Source organism: Homo sapiens, chromosome 6 (genome assembly GCF_000001405.40).
Source record: "Homo sapiens chromosome 6, GRCh38.p14 Primary Assembly".
Classification (NCBI taxonomy): domain Eukaryota; kingdom Metazoa; phylum Chordata; class Mammalia; order Primates; family Hominidae; genus Homo; species Homo sapiens.
In genome coordinates this window covers 21,711,530-21,737,070 of record NC_000006.12, presented here as the reverse complement: position 1 = coordinate 21,737,070, position 25,541 = coordinate 21,711,530, and the positions used below count along the sequence as shown (strand labels likewise).

General features: G+C 43.0%; 1 long non-coding RNA gene across 1 annotated transcript in view, besides 1 other annotated feature; it reads right to left on the bottom strand.

Moving 5' to 3' along the window:
• CASC15 (cancer susceptibility 15) overlaps positions 1–25,541 on the bottom strand; it is a 529,408-nt gene that overhangs the window by 458,750 nt on the left and 45,117 nt on the right. The window lies entirely within an intron of this gene.
• Positions 15,718–16,217: an enhancer, noted in NCBI's record as "H3K27ac hESC enhancer chr6:21721085-21721584 (GRCh37/hg19 assembly coordinates)". NCBI's record gives its function as "activates a minimal SCP1, AML or CMV promoter by ChIP-STARR-seq in naive H9 embryonic stem cells {active_cell/tissue: H9 hESC(naive)}" and the evidence as "EXISTENCE:reporter gene assay evidence [ECO:0000049][PMID:30033119]".

Below are 25,541 nucleotides of genomic sequence, written 5' to 3'. Positions count from 1 at the left end.
CCACCACGTTAGGTGGTTTACCACTGACGTGCCTTGCAGGGGAAAGTTTAAATCTAACAAGCTTCGGCCGGGCGCGGTGGATCACGCCTGTAATCCCAGCACTCTGGGAGGCCGAGGCAGGTGGATCATGAGGTCAGGAGTTTAAGACCAGCCTGGCCAAGATGGTGAAACCCCATCTCTACTAAAAATACAAAAATTAGCCGGGCGTGGTGGTGGGCGCCTGTAATCCCAGCTACTCAGGTGGCTGAGGCAGAGAATTGCTTGAATCTGGGAGGCAGAGGTTGCAGTGAGCCGAGATCACACCACTGCACTCCAGCCTGGTGACAGCGAGATGCCATCTCAAAAAAAAAAAAATCTAACAAGCTTCAAGATGAAGCTCTGGCCCAGAACTCATCTCCTCCCAGAAGGTCTCTAATGAGGACTGGCCTCTTCCACTCTCACAGCCAATTACTGACTCCCAGGTATGAGCTCCCAAATCACACACCACTAGGACATGATCCCTGCCTTTAAGGTCTAGTGTAACTGTAAATATTTACCACCGTTTGTCTTCATTGCATTTGTTATTGTATGTTCCAAGTTTTTAAAAAACCACTAAAGCCATTAATTATGCTTTCTAATATTTCGCTAGCCCCATTTCCCTCCAATCCAAAATCTCCATAATACCCTCAAACTCAAGTTGTCTCTCTCCCTTATACAAGGTATGGCCCGTGGTTTGCAAAAGATTTATTTTCTCTTACACTTGAAATCTAGAAATTTCCTGCTAAGTCATACAACTTCAAACATCCACCTTTCTCTGGAGACTACACAAATAATCACTACCCAAAGCCAAGTATATCCAAAATGGCCTGTGATATTTCAGAACAAAGGATTCATAAGCAGGAGTTCAAGGATGAATCCACCATTTGAAATTGTATGAAAAAAATCTAATGTGCAAGTGAATATATGGGTTTTTTTTTTCCTTTTGGGGTAACATTCTATTGCTTTCAAGAAATTTTCAGAAGAGGCTATGAGACAGACACACACACACACATCCCCACAGAAACACATAGACCTAAATGAAATCCTAATTTTAGTGAAACATTTTTGTACACAAATGTGACACAATTTCTATTTGTCCAATAAAACCTGTTAAATGTTTCAAAATCTTTTACCACATCTTTTAACTTAAAATATGATTAAAAGGTCTACCTTGCCAGACCAGTGCAAGAAACACAATGACCATAGGAGAAGTAGCAAAGAAAGAGAAAAAAACACCTCCAAATATTTTATGCCTGGAAAACTTGGATCATGAAGAAGATGAGAAAAAAAAAGTAGGTCATTGTAACTTGACATTCAGAAATAAGCAGCAACATTTTATTCTCACTGACCTGTAAGTCACCCTCCAGCTCCGAATTTCATCACTACCTTACAAACGGTTCCTGAACTACCTCAGCATGGCATCTGCTATATAATCTTCTAAAACTAACATTGGGAAACAATTTTTTTTTTTGAGACAGAGTCTTACTCTGTCGCCCAGGCTGGAGTGCAGTGGCGTGATCTCAGCTCATTGAAACCTCCGCCTCCCTGGTTCAAGTGATTCTCCTGCCTCAGCCTCCCAAGTAGCTGGGATTAAAGGCACCCACCACTACGCCCAGCTAATTTTTGTATTTTTAGTAGAGACAAGGTTTCACCGTGTTGAACAGGCTGATCTCAAACTCCTGACCTCAAGTGATCCACCCGCCTCGGCCTCCCAAAGTGCTGAGATTACAGGCGTGAGCCACCGCGGCCAGCCAGGAAACAATTTTAAGAACATAATAACTATACTTAATTCCAAAAATTAATAAGGAGAATGTATGCTGAATAATAATGTGGTGTGAGAGTCTGTGGAAAGACGTACTTGGGTTTGTTTTAAATGAATTAAATATATAAGGCTACCACAGACCTTTACCTACAATGTAATTTATATGGTAGCTGGGCGCGGTGGCTCACGCCTGTAATGCCAACACTTTGGGAGGCCAAGGGGGGCGGATCACCTGAGGTCAGGAGTTTGAGACCAGCCTGACCAACATGGAGAAACCTCGTCTCTACTAAAAATACAAAATTAGCCGGCCATGGTGGCGCATGCCTGTAATCCCAGCTACTCGGGAGGCTGAGGCAGGAGAATCACTTGAACCCGGGAGGCAGAGGTTGTGGTGAGCCGAGATAGCGCCACTGCACTCCAGCCTGGGCCACAAGAGTGAAACTCTGTCTCAAAAAATAAATAAAATAAAATAAAATAAAATTTTATATGGTACAGGTTGTCTCAAAAGAGGAATTTGTATGTGGAGAGCCCATTTTAAATGTGTCCTGCATTTTTATCTGATACTATAGCCACTGGGGATTTATTTGCTTTCATCAGTAGTTACCTGACATCCTTTCTGCATAAATCCAGATAGAAAAGTATCTCTTCTGGTTCTGTTATTTGCTGCTGTAGTTTCCATCTGTAGTGCTAAGATCCATCCCTTATTTTATCTTGGACACCAAGCAAGCTTCTTTTCTTCACACTCTAGTCTCTTCTCAACAGCTTCACAAGGGAATCTCTGGGTTGCTTCAAACGCATCTAACACTTCTTTCCAATTATTTATGTTGGTGACAAACTCTTTCTCACCAACTGTCTAGGGTCACTCAGAGGTACTTGATTTGAAAAAGCATTCGGTTTCCTATCCAATATTTTGGTACCTCTCCAGCTCCCCACTTCAGCTCTGCCGATGTTAGCACATTGTTGAGCAGAACTTGCCTCTTACATTTTATCTGAGATTGGCTATAACATCCATATGCTGAGTTGCTTCCACATTGGTTCTCATATCTGAAAATTGTTAATATCAGCAACAACCCTTAAAAAAAACCCTGTTGCTTTTTAAAAACCCTGAGCACTTATATCACAGAAAGGACCCAATCCCAGATCTGCCACTTATTATCAGTGAGACATCTGAGCAGGTCTCTTAACCCCCTCCCTGAACTTCTTTTTCCTGTCTGTAAAATGGGGAGAATACCACCTTCCTCACTACGTTGTGAGTATTAAATAGGTTCGTGCATGTGAAAGGTTTAGCATAGACACTGGCTGCCCCAAAGCCAGTGCTCGTAAGTGTTAGGTACTTATTTATTCTGAGAGCAAAGTCTTAATTATCTGTGGATAGAGAGGTGAACATTAGCATGAAATTGTGCATTTTTTTTAGGGGAATGGAAACAATTTGCATTTTAAGAGCAAGCAAGCATTTTTGTTTAAAAATATCAAGGGCATATTGTTACAAGCTCCTGCTCTGCAGGGACACTGAGCCCTTCTAAGTTCTTTCCTTTTCCCAATTTTGTTTTCTCCTCCTCTCTGTGAATGAAAACAGCACATAGAGAAATGCTTTGTAAATGCTATAGCAAGATGACCATTTATAAGGACTCTAGAGAAAGTCCTAGGGCAAACTGGTTGCTACATCTAACCCCTTGAACAGGCTGACAAAAGATTTAAACTGTAGCAGCCATGTGAGAAACACACATGTGGTTTTAAAATATTTGAATTCCATTGTACAGTTCTTGGTAAAACCCATGCAGACCAAGGAAGCTGACACATTCAATAGAAGACATGGGCCTCCGTTGTGTCTGTGACCCCTCCAGGTATTTTAAGCACCAGAATCAAAGTACAGAAATAAAAACAAACAAAAGCCCAATATCTGTCCATGCCTGGTCTTACCAAAAAAAAAAAAAATTGTTTTTTTAAAAAATAAGTCTCTTATGGGATGACTGTGGACTTATTTAGCCCATTCAGCAGGATTTTTTACTAAGCTACAATGCAAAAGATTTATTTTGTCATTGTCCAACACCAACAATTGAGGAAACTCGGCCTAGTGCAAAATCCCCAGGAGAAACAATCTACAATTTAATTAGTGAAAAATTGAAGCAATTTAAATACAATTCCAGGCATTTTTTAAAGTAGTATTTGAATAGACAGCTGCTGCATCTACTAAGTGTTTAGGCAAAGCACCATAATCCCTGATCCGATGAGATGCCCAAGGTTATGAACACAACTGTCTGTTGTCAGGGCAAGACCCAGAATTTAAAACAAAACTCCAGAAAGCCTCCCTCAATGCCTGCTCCATCCCCACAAAATAAAGAGATCGCTAGCTAAATAGCCAGCCAGCCAGCTAGCTAGGTAGATAGATAGATAAAGAAAACATTAGTCACAGCCTTTTGAAGCACAGTAGAATGGAGACAGAAAAGGATTTAGAGCCCACAGCACTAAGCTGGAGTCCTGATTTGTTCATTACCTTTTTTCTGTTACTACTTCAAATTCCTCATTTATAAAATGGGAATATTAATGCCTATCCCACATGAGTTTTGAATCTTCAATGAGAATATAAGAAAACACTATATAAATGTTACTTGAAGATGTTGAAATGTTAAAGAAACAGAAAATATAAATTGAATTAGAGATATGTCACTACTGCACCTTCTACCATAAGAACTTTATTGTTTCAGCCTTTTTTTTTTTTTGATGGAGTCTCACTCTGTAGCCCAGGCTGGAGTGCAGTGATGTGATCTCGGCTCACTGCAACCTCCGCCTCCCAAGTTCAAGCGATTCTCCTGCCTCAGGCTGCGGAGCAGCTGGGACTACAGGCGCATGCCACCACGCCCAGCTAATTTCTGTATTTTTAGTAGAGACGGGGTTTCACCATATTGGCCAGGCTGCTCTCGAACTCCTGACCTCGTGATCCACCTGCCTCAGTCTCCCAAAGAGCTGGGATTACAGGCGTGAGCCACCGTGCCTGGCCTGTTTCAGCTTTAAAGATTTATTTGTACATACAAAATATTTTGCCACGCCCAGTTGCAGTCTTGCAAGATGAAAAGGGTTCTGGAGATGGATGGTGGTGATGGTTGCACAATGATGTGAATATACTTAACACCACTGAACCGTATGCTTAAAAATGGTTCGAATGGCAAATTTTATGTTATGTGTATTTTATCACAACTTTAAAAAATTATTTAAAAGCCTTTTACCATGATAAAATCCCCTGGTAGCAAGAAAGAAATCCTCTTCCTTTAATATTTAACTTGGTCAACTGAAAAAGCGAAGAACAAGGGGCTGAGGATCCTAGATGTGCCACAGAGTATGAGCACATTGCAAAGGTATGTACAAATTCTAGGACCTCGGCCAAACTTCCCAAAAGGACTTTTTTGTTAACCTTTGTTAATTGCAAACAAAACCGATTTCAAAATAGAGGTGCCCACACGTTGGTTGCCAAGCCCTCAAACACCCATGCTTTGCACACTTTAAGGGACAGGAATGGCATTTGTGCTATGAGTACTAATGAATACAAATACTTGAAATGATTCAATAGTTTACATCTGAAAACATTTCACAGACTCTCAGTATATGCTGCAACAAGTGCATTAAACATAAGAAGAGCCCCCAAAGAAGACCAAGAATCCACATTAGAACTCATATCCTTCAAGGAGGGTGGACATTCCTGTTCTTGGTGCAGTTAGAGAGGTGTCATATGAATCCACCTATGATTACAAGTCCAGACACAGAAACAGCTACAGGCAGCAGAAGGGAGACATGGTTAAGCATCACTGAAAAGGAGCTCCCAGCAGTCTCAGCTCTGTTACCACCCACCCGCTGGGTTACCTTGAGCAAATCACCAAAACTTTCAAGGCCCCTGTCTACACATCTAGCTCTCAGTGACTCTTTGCTCTATTCTAAGCTTGGCCAGGGAGATCTAATAACAATTTATTAACCCTATGCATTACAAAGTGCAGCTATGAGGAAAAGAAAGAATATTTGAAAAAGAAAAAAAAGAGGGGTGGGCGTGGTGGCTCACACCTGTAATCCCAGCACTTTGGGAGGCTGAAGTGGGTGAATCACTTGAGGTCAGAAGTTCAAGACCAGCCTGGCCAACATGGCGAAACCCCATCTCTACTAAAAATACTAAAGTTAGCCGGGTATAGTGGTGCACACCTGTAGACCCAGCTACTTAGGAGGCTGAGGCAGAAGAATCACTTGAAGCCAAAAGGCAGAGGTTGCAGTGAGCTGAGGTTGCACTCCAGCCTGGATGACAGAGTGAGACTCCATCTCAAAAAAAACAAAAACAAAAAACAAAAACAAAACAAAAAAACACACACTAAACTAAACACCATGATAACAGGGAGATAAGAAGAATCTAAATGACCAAGGCTGAACACCAACAGCTCAAACAAATATCAGGAAAAAGCACCTGCAATAAAGACACACAGCACAGCTGCCATTAGCGAAATGCTAAGGCAACGGAAGCTCAGCTTTTGAACGCAGCATAGGACACAACGCCCCCACCTCCGTGCTATCTTGGAAGTCAGCGGAAACCTCAGCATCCACAGGAACCTGGGCCAGAACTGCGGCTCAGCCCTGAAAATTCTGCAAACTGTCTCTACGGTTGGAACAGAGATTACAATGGTACTAGTTCAGGGCAATCGGGTGAGGGAAGACAGTATAACTTAGTGAAGGTCTAAATTACAAAACGGGGCCCAGCACGGTGGCTCATGCCTGTAATCCCAGAACTTTGGGAGGCCGAGGTGGATGGATCACCTGAGGTCAGGAGTTCGAGACCAGCCTGACCAACATGGAGAAACCCCGTTTCTATTAAAAATACAAAAATTAGCCAGGCGTGGTGGCGCATGCCCGTAATCCCAGGTACTCAGGAGGCTGAGGCAGGAGAATCGCTTGAACCCTGGAGGCAGAGGTTGCGGTGAGCCTAGATCGTGCCATTGCACTCCAGCCTAGGCAACAAGAGCGAAACTCTGCCTCAAAAATTAAATAAATAAATAAATTACAAAATGGTTTATCATCACACATTTCTTTACATACTCTATGTTTTAAACTAAGGTATTAATAATGTTGTAAAATAATTATTTTCATCTAGTCCAAAGTGGGATATTTAATATTAATAGTACACAAAAGGATGAGCAAATCCTCTACAATAAAATAATTGATACACTTAAAAGTTGATGTCAAACTAAAAGACCTTCAACTATTTATTAGATACTTCCTAATTTTATATTTCCTTCACGTGAAATTTCAAACTCTAAGACACTAGGAAAGTTGCTGTTTTTAATTGGCTAGCATTCTCTATCAATGAATAAATGATCACAAGTTGCAAATCTGTAAAATCATCACTTATTAAAATATTCTAAATTGGAGGTGAAATGGTACCATAGTACATATCCTGAGACTGTTCTCTCCCGGGTTCCTGTAAAATACCCATCAAAACAAAGCAATAGAGGGGGAAATCTGATCATGGAGAGCAAAGAGAGGAAGGAGCCATGATCATAACCTGGAGACATGTTCTACCCTTGCACTAATTGCGGTGAGATTCAGCAACACTGTTTTGTAATCACCTCCTGAGTTCCTTCATGAGGGATGGAAGTGAGAGGACTTTCTTAACCTTCGCTGATGGCACCTAAGCAAGAAACTACGTCACCCTGAGAAAACTGACAACCTGCCAGGTCAGTGATCCAAATTCACATCCCTCAGATTTCCTTTTCCCATGCCTAACAGTAATATTAGAAACCACTCAGCAGACTGGTTTCAAAGCCCCAGCATCCACCTCTAACAAGGAAAACCACACGAGATAGAAAAACAGTTGATGAAGGCAAAAAAAAAAAAGAGCAATCCCATTTCAAACTAAAACATTATGCTGAGACATGGACAGCAGAGGCAGAAAAAGAGACCCAGTCAAAAGCCCTTCTTGAACATTTTTTTTAAAGACAAGGTCTCATTAGTATTGCCCAGGCCGGAGGGCAGTGGCGATTATATTCACGCTGTAGCCTCAAACTCCTGGGCTCAAGCAATTCTCCCACCTCAGCCTCCCTAGTAGCTGGGAGTAAAGGCAGGCATCACTACACAAGACTCTGATTATTCTTTTATGTTAGTAGGCCTCAAGACTATTTGCCTTGGTCCCCAGTTTTTTTTTTTCTTTCTTTCTTTCTTTTTTTTTTTTGAGATGGAGTCTCTCTCTGTCACCCAGGCTGGAGTGCAGTGGCGCGATTTCGGCTCACTGCAAGCTCCGCCCCCCGGGTTCACGCCATTCTCCTGCCTCAGCCTCCCAAGTAGCTGGGACTACAGGCGCCAGCCACTACGCCCGGCTAATTTTTTTCTATTTTTTTTTAGTAGAGACGGGGTTTCACCCTGTTAGCCAGGATGGTCTCGATCTCCTGACCTCGTGATCCTCCCGCCTCGGCCTCCCAAAGTGCTGGGATTACAGGCGTGAGCCATGGCACCTGGCCTTTTGGTTTTTTTTGTTGTTCTTTTTTTTTTTTTTTTTTTTTTGAGAAAGCGTCTCGCCGAGCACAGTGGCTTACGCCTGTAATCCCAACACTTGGGAGGCCGAGGCACGCAGATCACAAGGTCAAGAGATCGAGACAGGAGTCTCACTCTGTCACCCAGACTGGAGTGCAGTGGCCCGATCTCAGCTCACTGCAACCTCCGCCTCCCGGGTTCAAGCGATTCTCCTGCCTCGGCTTCTCGAGTATCTGGGATTACAGGCGCCCACCACCACACCCAGCTAATTTTTTTGTATTTTTAGTAGAGACAGGGTTTCACCACACTGACCAGGCTGGTCTCGAACTCCTGACCTCAGGTGATCCTCCCACCTCAGCCTCCCAAAGTGTTGGGATTACAGGCGTGAGCCACCGCGCCCAGTCACGTCCCCAATTTCGAAAGCTGCAACCCTGTTGCAAATGACTTTACCTCACCCTCATGCCTAACCTGAAGTCCAGACATGAATGAACATCCAGGCATTGCTTAGAAGACTGAATGCGTTCCACACACAAAAAGATAAATGGCACTTAGTAAATGCATTGCCAGGCATCATAAATTGGGTTCATTACAATGTACATCAAGCTGCCCTGCAATTTCAGAAAAGAAAGGTGACCCTGCCAGTGTCCAGGGGACTATGAGGCACCTGGGGGACTCCAACATCAAGCCAGGATAGATGCCTGAGATCCAAGTGTAACAGGAGACAAGATGACGTCTGGAGCAAGATGTGACAGGAGAAAAGAAACCTTTCATTGCCATCATCCCTCCCCTAGACTCCAAGTCCTGGGGCAGGTACCTCAGAGAAGTTTCCATCTGGCAAAGGCTGCTGAGAGAAAGGAGTATAGGTGATTATTAGAATTTAGACTTAGGGTTGGGTGAGGTGGCTCACGCCTGTAATCCCAGCACTCTGGGAGGCAGAGGCGGGTGGATCACCTGAGGTCAGGAGCTCGAGATCAGCCTGGCCAACATGGTGAAACTCTGTCTCTACTAGAAAACAATTAGCCGGGTGTGGTGGTGTGCGCCTGTAATCCCAGCTACTCGGGAGGCTGAGGCAGAAGAATCGCTTGAACCCAAGAGGTGGAGGTTGCAGTGAGTCTGGGCGATAGAGCGATACTCCATCTCAAAATAAATACTTAAATAAGTAAAATAAAAAATAAAAAAAATTTAGACCTAGCTAAATCTTGGCTTTAAGATCTCTAAAATCCTAATAGTACATTTCAAACCACAGTGAGGTGGATATCCTTTGGCAAAAGACTATCTCTTTGTAGAAACTGAATACTACTTACTTTGTAGAGACAATTTCTTCATCCTAGGAAGACTGGCCGAATAGGCAGTTTAATTATGCAAAGAGCTTATGAAATAAAGATTGTTACAAGACCACAGCTGTAAAGCCTAGGCAAAATTACATCTCTGCAGACTCTGTTAACTCTGGAGAAATGCTTCTTGTCCAAGAATGGATTTGGACCATATGGTTCCTACAAACCACTCTGGAGATACCTGCATTTCAGCCCTTATTTGTGGATCAGAAGCAGAGATAAATGTATGGAGAGAAGATGTGAAAACCCATCTATATTTGCTGATGGAGGAGGGACTCTAAGTGAAGCCCTACCTGGAAGAAACCCCTGATGCTCTACGTGACTAATCCACACTTGAACCAATGTCCGGTTGCTGGACCTACTTAAGTGGTTCTTAATCTTCTGGGGAGATGCTAGACCACTTTAATAATCTGATGAGGGCGATGGATCTGCTCCCGAGAAAAAGGCATGTGGCCAGAAATCTGCACACAGCTTCACGGGTTTCATGAATCACTCAAAGCCTGTGTACTTTGAGAATGTGTACTCAAAGCTAAAAACTTACGGACCATGGTATTACATAGGGGTCTCGCTAGGGCTATGAATTAAGCTAATAACACTCCTAAACTGTGAAATTATCTTTGAAGGAAATGAGTATTCTTTCCATTAGTCATCCTGAAAAGCGGTAGATCCTGAAAGGAAAAAAAAGGCCTTAGACTGAAGGAGAAACTCTACTTTTTTTCTCCGAGACAAGTGAGACTTTAGTCTGGATTCTCAGGAGTCTAGACATGGTGGGGAATACTGACTTTCACCTCCATGGAAAGCAGGCAGAGCCTGGGAGCAGATCAATCCAAAATTAAAGCCATGCAGATGGCCTGGGCCTATAAATTCCGAAAATAATCATCTCACATCTGGTCACAAGTTACTCTGTATGCTATAATTCTCTCCTGTTACCCTATACCTTTAATAAAGCTATGTTAAATGCTATAACTTACCCTGGGCAACATAGGGAAACCCAGTCTTTGCAAAAAAATGAAAGAAAAAAAAATAGCCTGGCATGATGGAGTGCACCTGTAGTTGCAGCTACTAGGGAGGCTGAGGCAGGAGGGTGGCTTGAGCCCAGGAGGAAGAGGCTACAGTGAGCTATGATCACTCCACTGCCCCTCAGCCTGGGTGACAGAGCTAGACTGCGTCTCAAAAAACACCAAAATTATAGCTTTATCTTAGAAATCGTTGAGGAACTATGAGAAGGGTCTGTGTCCAAACTTGGACTACAGTGATAAACGGGACAGTAGCCCCTTTGTTTGTGTGTGTGTGTGTGTGTGTGTGTGCGCGCGCGCGCGTGTGTGTGTATTTTGTTTTTGTTTTTTGTTTTTTGAGATGGAGTCTCGCTCTGTCACCAGGCCGGAGTGCAGTGGCACAATCTTGGCTCACCGCAACCTCCACCTCCCAGGTTCAAGCGATTCTCCTGCCTCAGTTTCCCGAGTAGCTGGGACTACAGGCGTGCGCCACCAGGCCCAGCTAATTTTTTTGTATTTTTAGTAGAGACGAGGTTTCACCATGTTGGTCAGGTTGGTCTCGATCTCTTGACCTTGTGATCCACCCACCTCAGCCTCCCAAAGTGCTGAGATTACAGGTGTGAGCCACCGTGCCTGGCCAGAGTAGCCCCTTTTGAAGCCAACAGAGTGATGGTGGCTGTAAACCCTGAGACCATGAGCAGCAAACAGCCTGACAGACATCAAAGCCAGTCCGTTCTAACATCCTTCCCCAAAAGGAAGAAGAAAAAGAACTACAAAGGAGGCCAAGGGTCTGCTGGCCCCAGGGCAGGGCTATCAGCCGGTGGATCTCAGGCTGACCTGTGAATGTGATTCCACCTTATACCCAAAAGAGGCCATTGGAATATCATAAAATGATAGATCATATTAAATGAAAAAAGATCATATTGAAAAGTAAATAGAAAACCAAAAAATATTCGAATACATTAATGAATCCCAGAGCTGGATTTTGTCGGGGAAAGAATACGCAGTCTTAATTTTTAAAACATAGAAAACCCAAATAAAATTAGAAATAACTTTGTGTTTAACACTTTATTAAATAAATGAAGATGATCTAATATATAATTTCATGGTAAAATCTTAGTGAAACTGATAGTTTTCTGTAAAGGTTTCAATTCCCAAAAGTAAACCAATATCATAGAAGACATTATGAAATGTGTAAAGGAATTTACACCAACAAAAGACTCAGTGTCTGTTTGGCTTTATTGGCCATTTGTTTTAATTAATTTAACCAGTAATTTTAATTAATTTAGCCAGTAATTTAAAATTACTGGTTTCAAGGACCAAATCCAGGAAGGTTAAGAGATTTGGGGCCAGGCACGGTGGCTCAAGCCTGTAATCCCAGCACTTTGGAAGGCCAAAGCAGGCAGATCACTTGAGGTCAGAAGTTCAAGACCAGCCTGGCCAACATGGTGAAACCCCGTCTCTACTAAAAATACAAAAATTAGCCAGGCGTGGTGGCAGGTGCCTGTAATCCCAGCTACTTGGGAGGCTGAGGCAGGAGAATTGCTTGAACCCAGGAGGCGGAGGTTGCAGTGAGCTGAGCTCAAGCCACTGCATTCCAGCCTGGGGGACAGGAGCAAAACTCCACCTCAAAAAAAAAAAAAAAAAAAAGAGATTAAGGTTACACGTCACACACTCAGTGCATAACTGAGACAGAATTCTGTTTTATTTGTCTACTTTCCTCAGCTAGAAATATGAAGGCTAAGACTGTGCTTTTGTTCCTCTAAGTTGCCTGGTAACCATCATTATAACTTAAACTGAGATTATGGGATGGAACTCTAAAAAAAAAAAAAAAAAAAAAAGAACAACAAATTTCTAAACATACCAGCCCTAATGTCTACCTTTCTTAACCTCTAATGAGTCTACCTCTTTCTGTTAGTGTAGTTGAGATATATGGAGTAACTGAACCACGACTAGGTATTATATACACAGGAGGTACACTCGTATTTCTACTGTATTCTATCCTACTTTATGTAAGTCTGCGACGGGTATTTAGTCCCAAAGTCTTTGATAAAATGTTTTGCCATTCAATATTTGAAATGTACATACACCACTGCATCATGTATTGATTTTATTTCAGATGCAGTTTCTCCAATGCCTCAAGAATAGTAAAGTCTATATTACATGTCATTCTCTTAAAGATCATTTTCTTGGAGAGGAAAAAGTAGTCAAAAGTGTGATGGATTTTCTTCTTCTGATGGATATGGGGAAACTCACCAGTGTAACAACTGCTTTGATAGATCTATATAGCTGAAGCATTCTCGAGTGAAAGAAATAATAATGGGACATCATCTCTTGCCACATTGTAGTTTTAACAAGGTTAGGATTGGCAGAGACTAGGCTGAAAAAACAGCCCTGTGAGTGATAACCTGATTTCTGCCTCTTTTTAGTGACTTAAACTTTACTTCCCATAAACATTATACATGCTACACAATTCTCAAAGAAAGAATTACAGAATTTAAAGCTAGAAAGAAACTTTGATGCATCTCTTGATTTTACAGACCAGAAAACCGAGGTCCAAGAAACTAACCACTTACTTTGTCTACTAAATTTATCCGGTCCATAAGAGTTATATAGTAGTGGTTGCAAAAATGCCTAGAACTTTCCATTTCCTCCATGCCATCTGCATTTGACCAAAAAAGAGAAAGGACTGGTAAAATGATCCACAAATCATTCTGCTTCAAAGTATCGCAGCACACATACCACAGGCAAGACATATAACCTAGGTTCACATTCATAATAATTTAGGGCCTAATTCAGAAAGATATCGGATCCAAATCCTTAAAGAAATCTTTATGGGTTTCTGAGGAGGCTGACACTATGATACAAATTATTTATCCACTCTCACCAGCTGGATATCAAAAACGGGCATTGTAGGCAGAAAGGAAGGTGACAGAAAAGGGGGAAGACACATGTCTGTCTACTCTGAACCCTCTCACAACACCGTGAGAGGCCAACAAGCTTATCTCTAAGCATTTGTTCTTGGACCCAACAATAGCCTCCTGGCCTCACATAGAAATAATACTCTACCCTTCTTAGTGAAACCCCCACTTGATTCGAAAAGAAAAGATTATTACCTAGCTGACATTTTAAAAGGGAATGATGCCAGGTGTGGTGTCTCACGCCTGCAATCCCAGCACTTTGGGAGGCCGAGGCGCGTGGATCACCTGAGGTCAGCAGTTCAAGACCCACCTGGCCAACATGTTGAAACCCCATCTCTACTAAAAATACAAAAAATTAGCCGGGCATTGTGGCAGGCTCCTGTAATCCCAGCTACTTGGGAGGCTGAGGCAGGAGAATCACTTAAACCCAGGAGGCAGAGGTTGCAGTGAGCCGAGATCGTGCCATTGCACTCCAGCCTGGGCAACAAGAGTGAAACTCCATCTCAAAGTTAAAAAAAAAAAAAAAAAAGGGAATGCTACTGTAGCTTTTTTTGTTTGTTTTTTTTATTTTCAACTCTGGATATTATACAATTATACAACTGCAGTATACAATTGCAAACCTGGATATTATACAATTGCAAACCTCAGCGTCTTCACTGATAGATGCAGGAGGAAGATAAGGAGGAGCCCTTCCCCCCACCCCCCCCAATCTCCCACCCGCCAATATGAGGAGGAGCCCTCCCCGCCCCGCCCCGGAATCTCCCACCTGCGAAGATAAGGAGGAGCCCTCCCCACCACCCCCGTAATCGCCCACCTGCCTGTGCACTGGGAGGATAGGGTGGAGCCGCAGGAAGTTCAGGCCGTTTGCAGGGGGAAGGAGACAGGCCTCTCCTGTTCCTGGGTGGGGACCTGAGATTCAATCTGTGAGATGAGGGCCTGTTAACTGGAACCCCTCTCGCTCTGCTGAGCAGTTTTGTTTTTTTTTGCCTTTTCACCATTCCATTCCCCCTCACCCTTCAAAGTGTCTGCGTGCCAAACTTCTCCTGGTTGTGTGACAAGAACCTGGTTTTTTTCTACAACATCACCAATTATGAAATGATTTTAAAACTTTTATAAGCATACAGAACTTTGTCACACAAAACCAGTTGACTACAAAAGCTGCGAACCAGATCTTGAACAAACACATCAGAATGCTAGAGTCCAGTTTAACTCACCTCTATTATTAGCAAATTTGGGAAATTTGGAGAAAAGTGAATCAGAAAAAAGAAAAGGGCTTATTCGGAAATGATACATTGTGTCTCACAAGAACATTTAAGTACCTGGAATTAAAACATCCCCTAAATTAACAATATACACTGTTGAAAGTTAGCAGGTTCAACTTTGAGATACCGAGGCTGTCAATCACTTGAGGTCAGGAGTTCGAGACCAGCCTGGTCAACATGGTGAAACCCCCGTCTCCACTAAAAATACAAAAATTAGTCCCAGCTACTAGGGAGGCTGAGGCACAAGAATGATTTGAACCCTGGAGGCGGAGGTGGCAGTGAGCCGAGATCATGCCACTGCACTCCAGCCTGGGCAGCAGAATAAGACTCTGTCTTAAAAAATAAAAACAATAAGCTGCACGCGGTGGCTCACCCCTGTAGTCCCAGCACTTTGGGAAGCCGAGGCGGGCGGATCACCTGAGGTCAGGAGTTCGAGACCAGCCTGGCCAACATGGTGAAACCCTGTCTCTACTAAAAATATTTTAAAAATTAGCTGGGCATGGTGGCGGATGCCTGTAGTCCCAGCTACTCAGGAGGCTGAGGCAGGAGAATCACTTGAACCTGGGAGGCGGAGGTTGCACTTAGCCAAGATTGAGCCATTGCACTCCAGCCTGGGCAACAAGAGCAAAACTCCATCTCAAAAATAAAATAAAATAAAATATAAAATAAAGCTAGGAAGTTCACAGTAAATTTATTTTAAAATATGAAGGTGTGTCTGTACACACCCACATACACATGTACACACCAAAAGAATTAGGTAGAATTTTCTAGGATTTAAAAAACAGTTTTTCCATAAAATTAAGAACATTTCTTTGACATCATTAAGCAAAATCTAAGTGTTTTAGACTTTTATCTTAAATACCTCTATTTACCCTCCTGCCATAAAGACTGCCTTCACTACTGAACTGTGCTAGGCAACTTAGTTTCTGTGAGTTTTTATCACTCTACTTTACACAAGCTTTAGGGTTAGGTACCTTTCCGGTCCTCTCAGCCTGCTTGCTATTCCTTCTGTTGGAAATTTTCAGTCTTTCTAGTCACACAATCTAGCTAGGTGTCATCCCTCTAGAAATACAATAGAATGTGACCTTTGTCCCATTGTTTAAGCTGCTTTAATAATAAAAGGGGGAGGGGGAGTGGCGGGAGGAATAAGGTAAAACAAAAAGGTGGAAGAAAGAGAGAGGAGGCTGGGCGTAGTGGCTCACACCTTTAATCCAAGCACTTTGGGAGGCCGAGGCGGAAGGATCACCTGAGGTCAGGAGTTCGAGACCAGCCTGGCCACCATGGTGAAACCCCGTCTCTACTAAAAATACAAAAATCAGCAGGGTGTGGTGATGTACGTCTGTAGTCCCAGCTACTTGGGAGGCTGAGGCAGGAGAATCGCTTGAACCCAGGAGGCGGAGGTTGCAGTGAGCCAAGATAGCGCCAGACTCTGTCTCCAGAAAAAAAAAGGAATGGAAGGAAGCAACAGAGGGAGAAGAAAAGTGGGTAGGGATGAAGCTAAAACACAGAAGAGGGCGAAATGGTTGGTGGATTAATCCCAGGGAAGAGAGACTCAACAGTGGGAGGAAAGGGAGCAGAAAGGAGCCCAGGGGAGTAGGACCAAGCCGCTCACTGAGGGAGGAGGCCCTCACAGACAGGCAGGCTACTGAGGTGGATGACCATACTCATGCCAGCTATTTGAGAGTTTTTCCTTGGGCGTGGGTGGGGAAAGGAGCTGTTAACAATAACAACAAAAACTAACACTAGTAAAGTACCCACTGTGTGCCTGGCGGGTTTTGAATGCTTTAGATATATTAACTCCTCCAAAACCCCTGAGAACCCAGGAGGTAGATGCTATGATGATACCTGTTTTACAGACTAAGCGCCCAGCACCCGAGGCACTGAGAGAGAGGTTAATGCCTAAGGCCAGACAGCTGGTGAGTATTTCACCTACGTTTCAACACCAGCCATCAGGATGACCAGGAAGGACCAGGAGAGGGGTTTAGTTATTACAACAAGAAAACTCTGGAAGTAGCCAGGATTTTTTTTTTTTTTTTTTTTTTTTTTGAGATGGAGTCTCACTCTGTCACCAGGCTGGAGTGCAATGGCGCAATCTCGGCTCACTGCAAACTCCGCCTCCCGGGTTCAAGCGATTCTCATGCCTCAGCCGCCTGAGGCTGGGATTACAGGCATCTGCCACCTCGCCTGGCTAATTTTTGTATTTTCAGTAGAGATGGGGTTTTGCCATGTTGGCCAGACTGGTCTCAAACTCCTGACCTCAGGTGATCCACCTGCCTCAGCCTCCCAAAGTGCTGGGATTACAGGCGTGAGCCACCGCGCCCGGCCAGGAAATTATTCTGAAGGACTCATCCCGTACCCATGAGATGTAACAAATACTATCAATCAGTGTGTATCACTTTAGCCCCTTCCCCAATCATTGCCACATGTCTGTAATGGAAAAAATAAAAACAAAACATTGCTCATCAATTTAATAAACTAAAAACAAAATATGAAATACCCATCCTGGGTACACTCTACAGCAATGACATCGAGTGAAGAAGGTCTATGTTAGCCAATATGGAAAAAAAAAATCTCTAAGAGAGATTGTGGACTTCAAGAAAAGCAAGTTGCATAATAGGTATTATAAGAGACTGAATAGAGGCTCCAAAGGCATCAGGTCCTAATCCCTGGGGTCTATAAATACTACCTTATTTGGATAAAAGATCTTTGCAGATGTGATTAAATTAAGGATCTTTGGATGGGGAAATTATCATGGGTCACCTGGATGGTACCTTAACATAGTCGCAAGTGTCATTATGAGAGAGGGGAGGGAGATTTGACATGAACGCACACAGGAGAAGGCAATGTGAAGGTGGAGCAGAGAGAGATGAACAGACACTGGCCTTGAAGATTGGAGTGCAGCAGCCACAAGCCAAGGAATGTTGGCAGCCACCAGAAGCTGGAAGACACAAGGAACCAATCCTTCAATAGAGCCCTTGTTGGGAATACAGTTCTGCTGACACCTTTTCATCCCAGTGACACTGATTTTGGACTTCTTCCCTCCAGAACTGGAAGGAATACATTTCTGTTAAGCCACCAAATTTGTGCTACTTTGTTACATCAGCCATATGAAAACTTATACAGGTGCATCTGATATCATTTATATTAAAATGTACACAAACACACAGAAATATTATGAAGGCAAAAATCAATTTTTGCCTTCATAGGTTAATAGAACAGACGTGAAGAAGCCAGGTGTGGTAGTGCACAACTGTAGTCTCAGCTACATAGGAGGCTGAATGGGGAGGATCGCTTGCACCCAGGAATTCGAGGCTGCAGTGTGTCTTGGTTGCACCACTACACTCTAGCCTGGGAAACGGAGCCAAATCATGACTCAAGAAAAGAGAATAGACTTAAAGGAGCTGGAGGCAGGGAAAGAAGAGAGAGAAAAAAAGTAATGGATGCCTACAAAATTGGCCCCATTACTACAATCAGTTCAATCTATTCCTTTGGGGCATAACCTTCACCTGAGGATTTTTCTTTTGCAAACTAAACTCTGACCTTTTTCCTCTCTTGCCCAAATTCTTATCTAAAGGACCTGGGGAGTCACACCCTACAAACCATAAAATCTCATCCCATGGGTTTTACTTAACCCTATATAACTTGGCTTACTTTCCAACCTGACTCTGGCATAAAATCACATGACAGATATGGAAGGAAATCAAAATATTTTATAACCAAAAAATGTTTCCTTGCCATATTTTGAAATGCTCCTACAAAGCCGGTGTGTGTGTGTGTGTGTGCGCGTGGGTGTGTGTGTGTGTGTGTGAGTGTGTGTGTGTGTGTGTGTGTGTGTGTGAGAGAGAGAGAGAGAGAGAAACTGCATCTGTAAAGAACCTCTACTAACATTACTGGGTCCTTCCCCTTTCCAGACCCTCTCAACGGTGAAGAGATTAACTAAGTCTAGCATCTTTCAAGGTCTGAATAGGAAACACTTGCCATCTATTGTCTCTGATGGCAGCCACCTATGAGACTTCATAATAAGAACCTTGGTCTCCACCACCCCTTATCTTAACCCAAACACTCCTTCAGGTCTTTAGATAATTACTTAACTCTTTCAACCAACTGCTAATCAGAAAATATTTGAATTCACCTATGACCTGTAAGTCCCCACGTTGAGTTATGCTGCCTTTCCAGACAGAACCAATGTATACTCCACATGTGGTGATTGATATCTTATGTCTCCCTAAAACAAAACCAAACTGTAACTCAACCACCTTGGGTACATGTTTTCAAGGCCTCCTGAGATTGTGCCTGGGGCCACGGTCACTCATACGTGGCTCAGAATAAACCTCTTTAAATATTTTATAGAGTTTGACTCTTTTCCTCGTCATTTTGTTGTGAAAAGAGTATAGTATTGTGCCTTGCAAAGGGAAATAACCCTCATTTCCAATCTTTTTTTTTTTTTATGAGATGAAGTGTCAGTCTGTTGCCCAGGCTGGAGTGCAGTGGCACAATCTCAGCTCACTGCAACCTCCACCACCTGGGTTCAAGTGATTCTCCTGCCTCAGCCTCCCCTAGTAGCTGGGATTACAGGTGCCACCCCCCCACCACACCCAGCTTTTTTTTTTTTTTTTTTTTTTTTTTGAGACAGATTCTCGCTCTGTCGCCCAGGCTGGAGTGCAGTGGTGCAATCTCAGCTCACTGCAAGCTCCGCCTCCTGGGTTCAAGCAATTCTCTGCCTCAGCCTCCCGAGTAGCTGGGATTACAGGCGCCTGCCACCACGCCCAGCTAATATTTGTATTTTTAGTAGAGACAGGGTTTCACCATCTTGGCCAGAGGCTGGTCTTGAACTCCTGATCTCCTGATCCACCCGCCTCCACTTCCCATAGTGCTGGGATTACAGGCGTGAGCCACCGTGCCTGGCCCAATTTTTTAGTAGAGATGGGGTTTCACCATGTTGGTCAGGCTGGTCTCAAACTCCTGACCTCAAATGATCCGCCCACCTCAGCCTCCCCAAGTGTGGGATTACAGGTGTGAGCTATCGCACCCGGCCCCTCATTTTGCCTTTTTTTTTTTTAGACGGAGTTTTGCTCTTATTGCCCAGGCTGGAGTGCAATGGCGTGATCTCCGCTCACCGCAAACTCCACCTCCCGAGTTCAAGCAATTCTCCTGCCTCAGCCTACCGAGTAGCTGCAATTACAGGCATGTACCACCACATCCAGCTAATTTTGTATTTTTAGTAGAGACGGGGTTTCTCCATGTTGGTCAGGCTGGTCTCGAACTCCCGACCTCAGGTGATCTGCCTGCCTCAGCCTCCCAAAGTGTTGGCTTTACAGGCATGAGCCACCACACCTGGCCTCTCATTTTGCATTTATAACTCAAATTGCAAAGACACGCTTCCCTAAAAAAAATGTGTCCCGAGTACTGAATTTCTGCTCTTCCTCCAATGTGTTCACCAGCCAGAACCACCACTGCCTGCCACTGGCCGCAGGGCACAAGCCAGTGGGGATGGGAGGAAGGGGAAGTTCAGCACACCCATCCCCATCCTCCCACCAACACCCCTGAGCCCATGCCGTTATGGAGAGGGTAGCCCCATGGCAGGCTCACCCATGGGTAATCCCAGACTAGATTGAGCTGTACCCTGGTCCCAACATTGCACAATCCCACCAGGCCATGCAGTCTTAAACCACACTCTTCTTGCAATTTAGAACACATTTCCTAAACATTTAAATTTCTTTCCAAGAAAGGTTCCCACACAACTTTTCACACATGAACTATTCTATTTTTTCTAAATTTGAAATGCATTGGTAAAAAGCTAGAACCATCCCTCACCCTACCCCACACACACAAAAAAAGTGTTTTCCATTAAAGAACAACCAAAGCATTAAAAACACTAACACAAAGAGACTTGCAGGAAATTACCTTTCGGGAGATTTCTTCCATTTGTTAAAACTAATTTGTCACCCAACTCCAGACATTGTGTGAGGCCTGCCACTCCAACATTTGGGTAAAGAAAAGCAGTGCAGAATTCTGGGTGATTTCAGGCCAGGCGCAGTGTCTCACGTCTATAATTCCAGCATTTTGAGGGGCCGAGGCAGGCGGAACACCTGAGATCGGGAGTTAGAGACCAGCCTGACCAACATGGAGAAACCCCGTCTCTACTAAATATACAAAATTAGCCGGGCATGTTGGTGCATGCCTGTAATCCCAGCTACCCAGGAGGCTGAGGCAGGAGAATCGCTTGAACCCGGGAGGCAGAGGTTGCAGTGAGCCAAGATCGTACCATTGCACCCCAGCCTGGGCAACAAAAGCAAAAGTCTGTCTCAAAAAAAAAAAAAAGAAAAGAAAAGAAAATTCTGGGTGATTTTAATTGTCAAACACATCTTTCCTTATATTCAAAGAGAAATAAGACACTGCTTCTAAAATCCTGATATTCTTTCAAATGTAAAGCTTAAAAGAAGTAGGTGGAGTGGAATGAGGACTCCGGGCTCTGGGAGCTACATTCACCCCACATGGGCAGGTGACTTCATCCCCAAGCTCCAGGGTCTTCATCTATAAAAGGGTATGGCTGGGTGAGCTAACACTGCGAAATGTATGCAGGTAGAGTTGCTCTTCCATTTAAGAACTAAGTCATCCAAAAGACAGTCAGTATTTGGAGGACTTGACTCCTACTCCTTTTTCTTTATCATCAGATGGGTGATTTTTTCCAACCATCACATTTCCAAAATGAAAATGTAACAGCTTGCAACAATTGCAATATACTTAAGATGTAATAATGGAAAATGAGATGTTATTGATTGGAGAGGGAGGAGAAGTAACCACAATGGTATCATCAAGTCAGAGGAAGAAAGAAAATTAACAGATGAATTCTTCAAGACTGAGATTTGGTTGCCACCCACTACAGATGGCAGAGTCCTGAGTAGCAGTCCCCAGACAAAACAAGATATATATTTAATATGTGAGGCAGTCCTCGAAAGGACGCTCCATATCCTTTCAATTGCAAGGGGAATTCCGCATTCTAGAGTGCGTCGCAGCTAAAACTTACATCCTACATCCATTCTATTTGACAATAATACACAGACACTCAACTGTTTGTCTTGCACTTTTGTGTGAGCAAGACAATTTCCTTTTTAATTCCAGTGAAACAAAGTATACAGTGGAGCTATTTTAACAATACCTAAATCAAGCCATATGTTTTTGGAGAGGTATATTAAGTGTGGCATGTCACGCCCTCAAGAGGAAGGCACTCAGGTGTAACTTGAGTTTGAATGAAGCACCACTGTATCTGTGACTTTGCACCTAAAGAATAGGAATAAAGATTTTTTTCTTTTTTTTTTTTTCTGAGACAGAGTCTCGCTCTGTCACCCAGGCTGGAAGTGCAGTGGTGTGATCTCGGCTCACTGCAACCTCCGCCTCCCAGGTTCAAGTGATTCTCCTGCCTCAGCCTCCCAGTAGCTGGGACAACAGGTGTGCACCACCACACCTGGCTAATTTTTGTATTTTTAGTAGAAATGGGGTTTCACCATATTGGCCAGGCTTTTCTTTGAACTCCTGACCTCGTGATCCGCCTGCCTCAGCCTCCCAATGTGCTGGGATTACAGGTGTGAGCTACCACACCCAGCCTGTATGTCTTCTCTAGAGACATACCTATACAAGTCCTTAGCCCATTTTTTAATCAGGTTATTAGTCTTTTTGCTATTTCATTGTAAGGGTTCTTTATATGTTTTTGGGATTCACATCTTATCAGACATATGGTTTGCAAATATTTTCTCCAAATTCCATGGGTTGCCTTTTAACACTGTTGATTGTTTCCTTTACAGGACAGAAGCTTTTTAGTTTGACATCACTAATCATCAAGGAAACACAAATCAAAATCACAATGAGATATCACCTTATACATGTGAGGATGGCTATTATCAAAAATACAAAACACAAGTGTTGGCGAGGATGTAGAGAAATTGGAACCCGCTGTTGGTGGGAACGCAAAATGGTACAGCCACTATAGAAAACAGTAAGTTCCTGAAAAAATTAAAAATACAACTACCATATGATTCAGTAATGCCACTTTTGGGTATTTTTTGCTGCTTGTTTTTTGTGCTTTTTAAGATAGGTTCTTGCTCTGTCACTCTAGCTGGAGGGCAGCGGCACCATCCCTTGATTTCCTGGGCTCCAGTGATCCTCCTGCCTTAGCCTCCGGAGTAGCTAGGACTACAGGTACACATCACCACTCTCAGCTAATTTTTATTTCTGGGGGGGCGGGTAGAGGGAGGGTCTTACTACATTACCTAGATTGGTCTAAAATCCCTGGTCTCAAGCCATACTCCTGTCTTGGCCTCCCAAAGTGCTGTAATCACAGGCATAAGCCACCATACCCAGCTTTACTTTTGGGTATTTATCCAGAAGAATTGAAATCAAGGTCTCAAAGAGATACCAGAACTCCCATTTTCACTGCAAAATTATTCACAATAGCTAAGATATGGAAACAACTTAAATGTGTATCAAAAGATCAATAGATTTTTAAAATGTGGTGTACACACACACATACAGGATTATTCAGCCTTTAAAAAGAAGGAAATTCTGCAATATGAGCCAACATCAATGAAATACCCAGTTACGCAAAGACAAATATTGCATAAATGCACTTATATGAGGTATCCAAAAATATTCAAATTCATAGAATCAAAGACTAGAATGGTAGGACTGGGAGGAAGGGAGAATGAGGAGTTACTAATCAGTAGGTATAAAGTTTCAGTTCAACAAGATAAGTAAGTTCTAGGGATCTGCTAGACGACACTGTACATATAGTCAACAATACCATATTGTCCACTTAAAAATTTGTTAAAGATAGATTTCATGTAAAGTGTTCTTACCACTGTAAAATAAATTTTTTTAGAAAGAGGTATCTGTAGAGTAGTGAAGACAGAAAATACTCTCTTGGTATATGTTTTCTGCTAGTGATTTTTGCCATTTTATTAGTTGGTCAAAACATTCAATTTATTGCACTTATAGCTATTCGTGCCAGAACCTACTTTAGAGAAATGCAATAAGGTGAGATAAGATCAACTTTAAATTCTTAAAAAGAAAAACAATATATTTTAGGAGGTATGAAAACGATCTCATTCATTTTTAATGATTTAAAGAAAATTTGAATTTAAGTTCCAAGGTTTTCTTCCGAGAATAAAATAAGAATCCTTCCTTTACATCAGGCTAATTCATTTGTATTTCTATGAAAAATGACTGATGGTAACCAGGGACTCAAGAAAACAAAGATCTTTCCAAACAAGCCCCACATAAAGAGAAAGCAATGTGGCCCAGACAAGTATGTACCCAACCATTCAAGGAAGCAGTGGGAAACAGTAGCAGAGATGGACTTTGGTGTAGAGATTTTTAAACTCTGCTATTTCAGCTCTTCCCCTCACCTAGAGCATGGCAGGATCAATTCCATTAGCATCTTATAGGAGTGTAGGGTGTGTAATAGTGAGAAGCAACTTCGATTGGACCAAGGAGCATTTATTAGATTCAAAGTGGCCTTGGGCAGGTTATCCAAATCCTCAAAGGCTGAGAGTTTCCACAGCTCTAAAATTTTTCTCACAGGGTTTTCCTGAGTATTAAGTGAATTAAGGTATGCAAAGTGTCTTTGCACGGAGCCTAGCAAAAAAATAAGTAATTCATAAATTTGGTTTCTTATCATGAGCTTACTTCTCCTGGAGAAGAATAAGTTAATTCTGTTTGTGCCCTAAGGAGGGAGGGTGGCTGCCTTATTCATACCCACAGCCCACAAATCCAGGAGACTATCTAACACACAGTCGGGGTTCAATCCATATTTGTGAACTGTGAATAAATGCTTGCCAAATGCCATGCCCATAATGTTCCCGTAGTGTGCCCTGATGTCTATGGTTGAGCAAATTTATTTAGGGTTGAGCAACTGAAAAGGTAAGCCAGGAGAGTGCTAAGAAGCTGCAGCAGATGTTTCCATTTGTCCTCCTGAAGGAGCACTTCCTCTCTCTACGATGTCTCCAGGTTGGAAATATTTCCCGTGCCACCCTCCTGGGTTACACATGTGTAGGTGTGCAATGCCTTAGAAAAAGAGATTGATCTCAGCTCACTGCAGCCTCTGCCTCCCAGCTTCAAGCCGGGTGCAGTGGCTCACACCTATAATCCCAGCAATTTGAGAGTGCCAAGGCAGGCGGATCACAAGGTCAGGAGATTGAGACCACGCTGACCAACATGGTGAAACCCCGTCTCTACTAAAAATACAAAATTAGCCAGGCATGGTGGCACATGCCTGTAACCCCAGCTACTCAGGAGGTTGAGGCAGGAGAATTGTTTGAACCTGGTAGGAGGAGGTTGCAGTGAGCCGAGATCGCACCATTGCACTCCAGCCTGGGCGACAGAGTGAGACTCTGTCTCAAAAAAAAATAAAATAAAATAAAATAAAATAAAGGAAAAGAGATTGAGTTACCTGATGCCAATGTCAACAAAGCCAAATTTAGTGTGCAAAATTATGGGCTATAATATTTTTTAAAATATAGGGAAGGGTTCCTGGTGCCAATGAGTACTTTTAGCCTGGGAAGGGGTGACCATGACCAGAAGCATTTTTTTCTGTGTCTAACCTGGTCACCTTGCTAGAGAGTTCCTCTTTACCAGCAGCTTCCAAGGGCACTCTGAAATCTCCTTAAAATACTCCTGTACTGAAACTCCTATAGCAAATAATACCTCAAAGATCGTCATCAAGCATTCATTCAACAACTAGGTATTAAGCACTTACT